The sequence below is a fragment of the Homo sapiens genome, chromosome 4 (assembly GCF_000001405.40).
Source record: "Homo sapiens chromosome 4, GRCh38.p14 Primary Assembly".
Lineage (NCBI taxonomy): Eukaryota > Metazoa > Chordata > Mammalia > Primates > Hominidae > Homo > Homo sapiens.
Window position 1 is genome coordinate 135,050,770 of NC_000004.12, and position 13,116 is coordinate 135,063,885.

Here is a 13,116-nt window from a genome sequence, read left to right on the forward strand (position 1 = left end):
ATTTTTGAAGCTTTGTTTTTTTCTAATGTTCTCCAAAATATTTAACATAATTTTCACCATGAATTGGTAACAATAAAGTCTGAGCAATATACAACAAAGTAGTGCAATTGAAAGGTTTTATAACTTATAGAAAATCAATTGATCTGTTTATTTATAATGAGGAAAATCTCATAATATTTAAATTTCCTTACTTATAATGGCACATATTTATTAACATGGGCCCCTAAAGCGAAAATATTTACAGATACTTCTAAAAAGTTAGAATCTCAAATTTAAATAAGACAGTTTAAAATAAAGTTATACTAAAACAAATTAAAAAGTACTGTTTTAATTATAATTTTGATACTTCACATGTTATTTAAAGTAAATTGATTATGATATTGAAATGGAAACCAGAATAAACAATCACATGACTAAGACAGGCGTATTTTCCATACTATACGATTTTGAATATGAAATTTTCTTTGATATATTTAATTAGATATGGAGGATGTTAAAAATCTCCATGGCATGATATAAACCATAGACCTATGGAAGTTCTTGATTATTACATTTTTTAGTTGTTTTTACTGAATCACAGGGCACTGGCCTTATCAGTAGTCAAGGTCTACTCTAGTTCAGCTCCACCATGAGCTAATAAGTAGCACTGACAAGTCAATATGCTTGACATCTTTAGTGTGAACTCACACCTGAGACCCCTTACAGTCCCACTCTAATTTGCCTACAACAAAATCTTATGTGTGCATGCACACTTATATGAACATAAACACGATGTTCTATTGTCATCCAGATCTGTCTGAATATAATGAATATTTTATTAAAGAATGCTATGATTTATATAAAAATATGAGCACACAACCATCTTCAACAGCTCTGATTTTAAAGGGGAGCTTCATAGCGTTTTCACCTCTTTCAGATGTAGATGTGCCTGTTACAGAGCTAATGAAGTGAGAAACAGACAGTGGATACCCTTTTCCTTGATATATTATTCTTATTATTCTGCGCCATGATGTACTTTGGTCTGGCTGATAGTGCTGCAATTTACGTGAAGTTGAGGAATATTTCTCATCATACCAAACAGAGAGATTGAATAAATTTATGTATCTGAATTTGTATTGCAGCTAGCTCTTCAGTTTTATAATCTTTCAGTAATTAGAATTAAAATTGTTCTTCTTAACTTACTATTTTTTGCATAGAGAAATTTCATAAATCTCCATTTTCTTTCTTTCTTTTTTTTTTTTTTTTTTGGATACAGAGCCTTGCTCTGTTGCCCAGGCTGGAGTTCAGTGGTGCAATCGCTGCTCACTCCAACTTCCTGGGTTCAAGCCTCCTGGGTTCAAGCAGTTCTCCTTCCTCAGACTACTGAGTGGCTTGGATTACAGGTGTGAGTCACCACCCCTGGCTAATTTTTTGTATTTTTAGTAAAGACGGGGTTTCACCATGTTGGACAGGATGGTATCAAACTCCTGACCTCAGGTGATCCGTCCCCCTTCTGCCTCCCAAAGTGCTGGGATTATAGGCATGCACCACCATGCCTGGCCCTCCTCTGTTATCTTTTAAAATGTTGAGTATGTTAAAAGAAAAATGAACATCTATCTAAATAATAAGACATAACAATAAATGAACATCTGTTACCTCTCCTAAAATTACAACATAACCAATAATTAAGTCCTACTCCTAATCCATCCGCCTTCCTCCCAGAACCAGTTCCCAGAAATAAACATTATTCTGCTCTCAGCACTGAGTTTTCCTAGTTGTAGCAGTTGAAAACAAAGAAAAAACAGTTCTTTGTATTCTCAGACATGTTCAGTCACTATATGAACACAATTGCTCATCTAGTTCAATCTCCTCAGTGCCTCTGTGATCAAAACTATAACGTAGATTTGAACACAAATAGCTTTTAGGGCCAGCAAGTTAATATTGCCATGAGTGTGAGGTAATTTGCAGCCCATAGGCAATAGAACATAAAAGCCAAAATGAAATCCTCAGCTCTTCAAAAAAAGTGTGATTATAATTATGAACATTCCAGCTACTACTTGCCAGTCTTTATTTTAGGCAAATGAGGAAAAGATCTGACAATAACCATGGGATCACCTAGTCAGATTACCATGAGAAACTTCAAGAAGCCGTGTAAAAATACAAGACCTTGCTTACCCACCATGAAGTAACAAAAATGTTTTATTCTATTCAGCATTAGCACTTTCTTCTCTGGTTATATGGAAGCATTAGAACATTCTGAATACAACATCTAGCAAATCCCATTTCTAAAGGAATTTTTACAGATTATCATTTTTCCCTGAAGTGATTATAATACAAATACATTTGCAAATGTTTATGCCAAGAAATGTTTAAAATATATCTGAAATCTGGTGGCAATTTTGTTATTTGGGTTAAGGGTTTTTAATGCCTTCAGTAACAAGTTATTTTGTAGATGTGAATGTTGTCATTAGGTATTAAATTACTTTGGCTACAATGTTATCAATTGCTTTGAGGGATACATAATAGCATGTAATTAGTAATGCTACATAGTCCTTATATCAAAAGGCTATTTTGTAGTGCCCTTATATGCTTGCTTATAAAGTAAAGGTTTTTTTTTTTACACTTAAGTTAGAACATTCACTTATATTTTGAAAGTAAATGCTCTTTCATAATATATAACACATGAAAAATAAATTTAAATTCTACTAAACCAATTAACAAGACAGTCCTAAACGGAGGGAAAAAATAAATTACTTATGTTTCTTACTGAATAATCATAGTTTCACCTGAAGTATATGCATCAAATATGTTCCTAAATGGTAATGTACTATGTCAGTGTAATTCTGTAAAACTATAACTATAGATATAAACGTAGTTGAATTAAGGTATATCTATTAGTTTTAGCTTTGGATCTTAAAATGACAGAAGACGACACAGAATCTGTCTCATCTATAATTGAATGTATGAAAGAACTGAGTATGTAGGTCTAATTTTGGATCCATTGAGAGTGCTTCACTGAGTAAATGAGAATGATGTGAAGGGATTGCAAAGGGAAAAAAAGATGCTTTTATAAAGGTATACATGGAACTGCATATTCTAGCTTTTTGATGTTAGATTTTAAGTGAGAACATGTAAGTTTTTCAGATAAACAAATATACGAAGTTAGCTTCCAAATAATTGGCAATTTCATGCCCCATGTATAGGAGATTTTACTTGCCAAGAATGTTTTAAGCATATTGATTAGGTGTTAGAAACAGCACTTAAGGCTTTTTTTTTCCCCCACCAAGATTAAATTAGCACAGGTTTGCCAAATAATGTACCCTATTTAGAAGGAAATTTAACAGAAGTCCATACTATAATTTTTCTGGCTATAGCAAGGTTTAACCCAACAATGACTACCCGTTTTTTATTTAGACCCACAATTATGACACATAATTGGTCAATCAGAAGAAGGATTTACACTCAACAGCAACAAAGCAAAAGTAACTGTTCTCTGTATAGAACATTACCTGAAGTATAGAACATAACCTGAACTCAACTAGCTGAGTAAATAAGTACGGATCATTTATTTACCATGGATCATGTGACTATGTCTGTGTTGGACATTGTTGCTACCTTGGCCATAGGTTTTTCTGTTTTGTTTTGTTTTTCATGTGTAAAGAGAAACTACTGATTATGTAGTTGAAAGAGACTTTTGTAATTGTTGATTCACAATCTAAACTCTTAGTTATTTTGAAAGGAGTAAAAATGCAGTAAAACCTGAACATATTCTGTAACATTTTTTAAAAGAATGAATCAATTTTTAAGCAATTTTTAAGAGTATGTATTACATATTCAAATATAAGATATTTGGACCACCAAATATTGTTGAACCACTAAATTATTGTTAACCTGGATGCTTGTAGGAGTAATAATTCCACAATAGTAAGCTTTATTTGTTATATACATCATTTATTATTTTTCTGTGTCTTCAAACCAAGGTAATTATTATATTTAGGATATTTTTTCTTTGGAAAATACATTTTAAAGTGTTTACATTTGTCTTACTTTATACACAGATATTCTACAGAGAAGATGTAGAAAAATGTGATCTTGTTTTACCATAAAAATTACATGATGATAACAGTAATATATTACCTTTATTTCTGATATATGTTTAGTTAACATGTGTTTCTAACACTTTACATGTATTTTACTTTGCCATAGTCAGATAATCAAATAGTTTATGGGCCAAACTAGATGTTCTAAAACCTGTCAGAACTGTTAACTAGTTTTTGTTTGTTTGTTTGTTTCATTTTGTTTTGTTTTTTACTGACAGCCAGTCTCTACCTCAAGTGAGATATTTTGATTTACTTCTTAGTAGTAAGACTCAAACATTTCCATATATTAAATGATCCCCAGTTCATTCAAATCTTTAGGTAACATCTTAAAAAATAGAGAAAAGCAAATGTAAATAAAATTAATGTTTCTTGACTTATGAACCAAAATTCCTTGAAAGCAGATGACCAATTACAATTTATATGTTGTCTAAGTATCAAGTTTTTACATTGACTTACTTTCTTTCTTTCTTTCTTTCTTTCTTTCTTTCCTTCTTTCTTTCTTCTTTTCTCTCTCTCTCTCCCCTCCCCTCCCCTCTCCTTCATTCCTTCCTTCCTTTCGTTCTTCCTTTCTTCTTTTTCTTTCTTCTTTCTTTCTTTCTTTCTTTCTTTCTTTCTTTCTTTCTTTCTTTCTTTTTCTTTCTTTCTTTCTTTCTTCTTTTCTTTCTCTCTCTCTCTCCCCTCCCCTCTCCTTCATTCCTTCCTTCCTTTCATTCTTCCTTTCTTCTTTTTCTTTTTCTTTCTTCTTTCTTTCTTTCTTTCTTTCTTTCTTTCTTTCTTTCTTTCTTTCATTTTTTTCTCTCTTTCTCTCATCTATGGTCATGTAAAGGCATGAAATCATTAAAGTCATGTAATATTAAATATATTGATTATATTTTGTAGACAAGTCCCAGCATCTAAAAAAAAAATTTTTAAATGAAAAGACTCTTATAGCATATCTTGCAAATATTAATCACAAAAAAGTTCCTTTTAATTACAGAATAAAACATATCTTTGATGATATAATCTGAACATAAATGGCAAAAAATAGTTGTCTAATTGTTCAGTTAAGTTTTTCACATTCATTAATTGTTGTAGATAACTGTATAAATATAGATACGCTTTAGAACATTTGAAATATAGATTATTATGAAAGTGTAATTTTTCTTTCAATGATTAAAACATTTATAGATGTATACAATATATTCTTATAATCTTCTTTTCTCTTTTTAAGATCTCACCATTTCACTTTATTAATTTTCCTAGATCATTAGTTCTCAAACTTGAACATGCATCAGACAAGTTTAAGTTTGAGAACTAAGGCTCTAGAAGTACTTAAGACACAGATTGCTGGGCCTCACCCACAGAGTCTCTAATTATTAGGTCTGAGAAGGAGCTATATAACTTGCGGTCTATCAAGATCCCACCCAGTTAGTGCTGATACTACTGTTCTAGTAATTCCACTTTGAAAACTAGAGTTAAAAAATAAGAAGGACCGGTCTTTCTGTGCTTCTTTTTTTCAGATCAAGGAAACTAGCAATGCTTATTTATTTATGACTATATGAATTTTTTATTACATAAAAATATGGAAGTTTTTATAGAATTTTCCTGCCCCTTAAAAAAATAGAAAATACAAGTTATACATATTTCCTTGAATTAGAGTTCTGGAAAGAAATTCAGTTATTAATGTAGTTATAAATACAATGTAAAATTAAACTCATTTCATATTATATGACTGAAATTATTACAATACTGCAGAATTAAACTTGATTTCATTAGTTTTATACATTCTAGATATAAAGGTGAAATAGGACCTCATATTCAAATTACAAATGGAGATTAACAATTTCAATGAGTATGATTATTTGTATCAACATACTTTAGCATAAGCTATCTGAATAAATGCTTATTTTTCCACATTGTTTTTCTCCTATTGAACCAATGCCACCATAATTATAAAAACTCATTTTCTTAATATGTATAATTGACCATTCATCACTTGGAAAATGATGAATGAACTCCATTGTAATATTTAATCTCTGAAATAAGGTCTTATTTTGTCATTTCATTTCCTTTGGACATTGTTTATCCTCCCTGGTATACAGACTAGGAATCATAGTGCTAAATAAAATTTGTGCCTTTGGTTATGGAACACAATTTAGGAGATTGGGCTCTTATTAGGACAAGTGAATGTAATGAAATAAATGAATAAAAAAAAAAGCCTCATAGAGCTAGGAAAAGGTCAGCTAGAGGATGAAAAATTACTGAAAGCTCCAGAGACTACAAAATAATAATGTAGAATTTGTGATTGAACTACATGAGGATGAGATGTGTGTGGACAAGGTAGGAAGAGACTGCAAGAGATGTTAAAGGCAATAAAATGCAGAAGGTTCATGTGAAATACTCAAAGGAAGAAAAAATTAGGGTGTCTGAAAAATGGAATTAAGTACATATCTAGGAAGGCTATTAAGATAATGTAGAAAACAAGTTCTAGAAGCAAGATATGAAAATTCAATGTCAATAACCAGCATGCAAAACTGGATATTCAACTCTAGGAAAAGTCTGTGTGGATATGAAAAGAGGCTTCCTTCTTATGGGATGTTGGACAAAGGAGGAAGGATTTGAGACACAGATTGAAGATGACAAAAAAAATAGAGTTCAAGTTCTGAAACTACTGTAGGAAACAAAATACTGCTTAGAAACAAGAAAAATAAGTGTTAATATTTGATTCAAGTTAAAAATACAGTGCAGAGACAGCAACATCAAAGAATACTAGATGTTGGATTTATTCCTAGAAGTTATACTAGCTATTCATCTTCACTTCTCATAGGTGAGAACCAGAATTATGAATGAAATTGGAGGCTGAAGTTTATATTGCTCTACTTTGAAGAAATATTAAAAAAAAGCCATATGCTAGGGAAGACATTACATGCATATATACTAATATAACACCTTACTTATTAAGTTGCTCCATTACTTGGATATTTCTACTTATAAAGGAATAATATTTGACATAAATTATAAACCAAAGGGAATGTTATTTCAATAAATTTATTACCCCCACTTAAAGCTCTGAATTCATCTCTACTTATTGAATTACTTGAACTACCCTTTTTGATTTTCACTATGGAGCTAAGCCAAGACCACAGTTTCAGGAATCGATAGGGTCTGTGCTGTGTTGTGAAGCAACAAAACTCCCTGGAAGTATTCAGCTTACAAATTCCTCACTAAAAGCAGCAATCTCTGGGATCTTTTTTCTTCTAAAAATATAGAGCAAATTGTATAATATGCTACACAGATTTGGGGTGTAAAAACAGTATATCTTAATTTTCTGTTAAAACTAGGAAAGATTCTGAAATGTGACAAGCTTTCTCAGATTTCTACAGTCTTAGGGAACAGCTGCTTGCCTACACCAGGTTTTTTTTTTTTTTTTTTCCTATGATTAGGTACCTGGAAATAAAGTAAGATTCTGACATTCACCTCTTCCTTCTTGTTCTCATTTCTGCAAAGAGTATATTTCTCTTTGCGTCTTCAAGTGTTATACTATTACATTAAGTCTATAGTTTATCAGTAAATGATGAGTTATGTCTGTTTTAGACAAATATGTTTCACTTATATCAAGTTCACTAAGTACCCAAGCCATTTTCTTCAATTTGCACTTTATTAGTAAAGAGGAAGAAAAGTTATATTTTGATCTACATCATTCATATCCTATTATTCACCAAGTGATTCAAACACATGTGAGAAAGAGGTCATTGTCTGATAACTGACTCAGGAAACTTGAGAAAACTTAAGAAACAAATGTGACAGTAAAATACCTACGAAAGAAATGTGCTGGGCCAAGTGGCTTTAGGTGCTTTAATAGGCAGGTAACTGAGGTTCCCCTGACTCTGATATGGACAGGAGGCAGAAAAATACTGAGTAGAAGAGGCTGGTCTCTGGCAAGGGTTCCACCCTCAAGCCTGGACCTGCAGCCCAAGGGAATTTTACATCCTTGTTTTCCTGCTTGAATGTTGCCTTTTCCAAAACCACCCTAACATTGGCACATGTCCACCCCCAATCCTGTACCTATAAAAACCCCAGGCTCCACTAGTAGTGGAGCAGCAGAGAAGGAGAGAAAAGAAGCAGCTTGACTTCAGCGGGATGGCTTCATGGTGGGACCTCAGAGAAGAGTTCAGCCAGGGATGGCCAAATTCCAGGGGAAGACCATCTTCCCACTTCATCCCCTTTCCAGCTCTCCATCTCGCTGAGAGCCACTTTCATTGGCAATCAAATCCCCTACAATTACCATCTTCAATTCACTCATGTGACCTGATTCTTCCTGAACACTGAACAAGAGCTCAAGATACAGAAGGCTGTCACACGGAACCGTTAAACACCTAAGCTGTCCACAAATGTCAAAGCTAAAAGAGCACACTGTAACACACACCCTCTGGGGCTCCGGGAGTTGCGGGTACCCTCCTAGACGGTGCTGTGGGGCTGCGCCGAGTCCTGCTCCTGCTGATGCCCAGATGTACTCATCCTGGCCCCTGCACCCACTCACCTGCATGCTCCCATCCTTCGGACAGGTTGAGAGCTGCGGCCTGAGGAAATGAGCCACCACCTTTGCGAGTCCCACAGAGGGGTCAGGGAAAACTTCCTGTTTCAACTCCATACGCATGGCTTTTGAGGGCCTGAGAAATAACAGGACTTGCCAGCTCTAGACTATGTGGAGTAGTCAGGCAGGTGCCTTAACAGATAGTTTTGAGACTAGAAATATACTTTGCCTAAGTTAATCAGGTCTGCAAGAAAGGAAACATCTGAGTTCTGCCATGTACAGAGTATTAGTGAAATTCTGAATTAGATCATTAGTGCCAGGCCAGGTAGGTGAAAAAAGAATCAGAATGCCAAATTTGTATCTCTTTTGCCATTTTTTTCTTTGATCAGATCAATATATCTAAAAGTTCATCAATTTGATTGATCTCATGAAAAACCAGTTTAATTTATTGCAGTTTTTCTATTTCATATATTTCTAGTATTATCATCTTATTATAATTAGTATCATGATATATTATTATTATTGTTTCCACACTTCAAGAACTTTGTGCTTAAACTTTTTTTTTCTTTTTCTGGCTTCTTAAAGTAGAACCTTATATAATTGAGATTAAATATTTTGATTTTCATGTAATAAAGTTATAGAATTCCATCTATGTGTTATTTTACTTGTGTCTCACAAATTTTGATGTTTTCATTATCATTCAGTTCAAAATATTTTATTTTAAAATATAGAAATTTTAAATGATTTATTTCTTGAATCCATTGTCCATTTAGAAGTGTGTGTGTGTGTGTGTGTGTGTGTGTGTGTGTGTTTGAGATAGAGTCTCATTCAGTCACCCAGGCTGGAGTGCAGTGGCGTAATCTGAGCTCACTGCAACCTCCGCTCCCTGGGCTCAAGTGATCCTCCACCCTTACCCTCCTGAGTAGCTGGGACCATAGGCAAGAGCCACCACGCCCCGCTAATTATTTGTGTTTTTCTTTGTAGAGACAGGTTTTCACCATATTCTCCAGGCTGGTCTTGAACTCTTGAGTTCAAAGTTATCTGCCTGTCTTGGCCTCTCAAAGTGCTGAGATTACAGGCATGAGCACTGCACCCCATGTGTGTGTATTTTTAAAAATTTCTGAACTTTTGGGGAGATTTTATCTTTCTGTTGTTTCAATTCTTGAAATACATTGTTATTTGTTTTTATATTCTAGCTTATGATCTTGGTTAATGTTTCATGTGCACTTGAAAAAGAATGTATTTTCTGCAATTTTAGGATGTTCAACAGAGGTCAATTAGGTCAAGGTAGTTCTTATGGTTGTTAACATTTATACATTTGTTATTGTGAGAGGGCTGGCAAAACATTCACTTATGACTTGATTCATCTGTTTCTGCCTTTAGTATCTAAATATCTGTTAGTCGTTGCTGCATGTAGTTTGAAGCTGTTATTATTTAGACTGTTTTTACTTCCAGATACATTAAATTTTTATCATTAGGAAATTTCCCTCTTTATTTCCTGTAATACCTTTGTATAAAATCTACTTCATCTGATATTAATAGCCACAATAGATCTCTTATGGTTACTGTTTTGTTTTCATGGTAGGCATTTTTATATTAGCTGTGTCTTTACATTTAAAGTGTGTCTCTTAGAGAAAAAAAATAACAGTTGTTTTCAAATTCAATCTGAAAATATCTGCATTTTAATGTGAGTGTTTAATCCATTTAGACTTAATGTAATTATTCATATGGTATGTTTAAGTCTATCATCTTGCCAATTGTTTTCAGTATTTTTAATTTACTTTTATTCACCTATTTTTCCTCTTTTCTCATCTTATAACTCTGTTTTATTTTCTGAGTGCTGGCTAGCATTTAAAAATATTTTAAAATACATTTTAATCTATTTTCAAAAATTATGTTGTTTCACAGATACTTTAAGAAACTTAAAACAGAATACTTCCATTTTTCTTCTTCTTTTCTTTGAGCAATTTCTGTAATATTTTTGAATTTAATGTTCTCTGGTAATCCTATAATATGTAATCATTTTGGTTTATTCAATTTTCTCTTATTTATTCAGAAATTTGCCAGCTCTAGTGCTATTCATTTTTAAAAATTCATATAAAATTATATTTCATTAAACTAAAGCATTTTTAAAAGATTTTCATATAGTATAAGTCTATTGTCAAGACAAAGAATTCTCAGTTTTCTTTGTCTATTGTCAATGTGTGAAATACAATTGTTTCATATATTCTGGAATGTATGAAAAGTCCAATATTCTAGTGATTATTATTATAGACTGTCAGAGATTGAATTGTCCCCCATCCCTGAACTCATACATTGAAGCCCTGACCCCCAATATAGCTATATTTGAAAGATGGTTTTTAAGGAGGTAATTAAGGTTAAATGAGGTCATAGATTGGGACTAGTGTCCTTATAAAAAGAAGAGAAAACAGGGCTCTTTTTGTCCCCTCACTTAGTGTGGGCACACACGGAAGAAAGGCCATGTGAGGACAATGCAAGAAGGTGACCATCTGCAGGGCAAGGAGAGAGGCCTCCTCAGAAAGCAACCTGCCTGACACCTCGATCTTGGACTTCTACTCTTCAGAACTATAAAAAAATAAAATTTGGTCGAATAAGCCACCCAATCATGCACTGTGTTGTGGCAACCTGAACGGACAAAAACAGCTACAGTGGTAGAGGCAATCAGTTACCATTTATTCCATCCGGTTGAAATTACGTCTTATTGTTCTTTTGCTCCTCCCACCCTCAATTGTCAGTAGGGTAAATTTCTGATATTTGTCTAGATCTTCTTAAGAAACAGTCCCTTAATGTGTGATCTCTGACTTGTTTTAGGTTTGGTAATTCAGTTATTTTTTTTTTAGAGACTAGGTCTTTCTCTGTCACTTAGGCTGGAGTGTATGGGCACAATCATAGCTCACTGTTAGTTAAAGTTCTAGTGATCAAATTAGATTTCAACAAACAAAATTGCTGATTCATCTACAGAGGAACAGAAAATATTATTAAAAATAAGAAATAAAAGGTGCTATTGCATATTCTTGGGTTTGAATGGCAAATATTTGCAGTATTTTCAGTGAAACGACTCAATGAAAGTATCGCAAAACTAAATCTTAAAAGACCAACTAAATGGGCTTATGTCTGAAAAAAAATCTGTCTATAAAAATGCACTTCACTTAAAAAATCAAGGAAAACAAAAGTAGTTAAAAACATGCTTTACCATTGACACCAAATTAGAAAAAAACATATATAATGTATAGTCACACACCAATACTGCCTGAGGTGGAGGAAAAGAGAATTTTCTCAGTAAAGGGGTTATAATCTTAAAGAAAAGAGTAGAAAGATTTGAAGATCTGTTTTTCATCTCTTATACTCCTACACTGCTCCTGTCAACTTTATCTCCAAGAATGTCAGTTCTTTCTCTTTCCCTCAATTAAAACCTGATCACAAACTTAGAAAACAGGCAGAAGAACAGAAACCACAAAAGCTACCATCATTTAAAATAGAAAAAGTAAATCTTATTTTAAGAAAATGAGAGAGAAGAGAGAGGGATTTATTGACATGGGACATTTTTTTCACTACAAGAAACACACAGGTCATAAGATGTTTTTAAGTCACGCCTCCTGCCTGACAATTTTAGAAAAGATAGGGGGAAAAACTGCCTTGATTTACATTATCTGATTGCATCATTATGTTTCATAAAACATGCATGATCTGTTATAGATTCCATTATGTGTGTTTAAAATACAATTTCAAATTCTATTGTGTTAAATGGTTAGATCATTGCAGTATTCTAGAAATAATGGCAGATACACTTTCTTTATAGAGCAGTAAACATTAAGAGGTAATTCACATAAGTGTGAAGACTAAATTAAAGAATCAGTAGTGGATGCTGTAAATTACTCTGGAAAATGAAAAAAAAAAGTAAGCATAAGTTTACATTTATTATTTTCTTGCACCAATGATTCATTTATAATTGAGCTAATAATTTAAATTCTGGTTTCTGATTTGATTTGAAAGAATGAGAACTTTCCTAAGCAATTCGTTTGCAAAATTATAATATGATTTATTCAAAATTACATTCCTTCTCTCCACCAATATTCTTTCTTTATAGAGAATATGGTAATATATTGTCTGCAATGAATATGCAAGTTAGACCTCACTAAATGCGGCCATCTTTGCTTTTCTTTCCTCCTCTTGTTTAATTTCTTGCAAGTTGTAGAACCTGAACAAGACTTTTTGGAAATAGTGGATTGCGCTGGATGTAAAATAAGTCAGTGAAATTTTATAAAATAGTTTCTCCTCTTGTAAGATGAAACTTTGGCCACTGTTTGAAATATAGCACAAAAATTATTTCATGACCCCTATTTTAAAGTAAAAGAAAAATAGCCTGTATTATTTATATTATTCCCATGCAACAGATTAAATTCAAATATTGACTTTCTTTTATGTAAAACAAGAAAGTAAAATAAACCATCTATTTTCTACATTTAACAGTGATTTATTCATTTCAGATGTGGAAGCTCTATA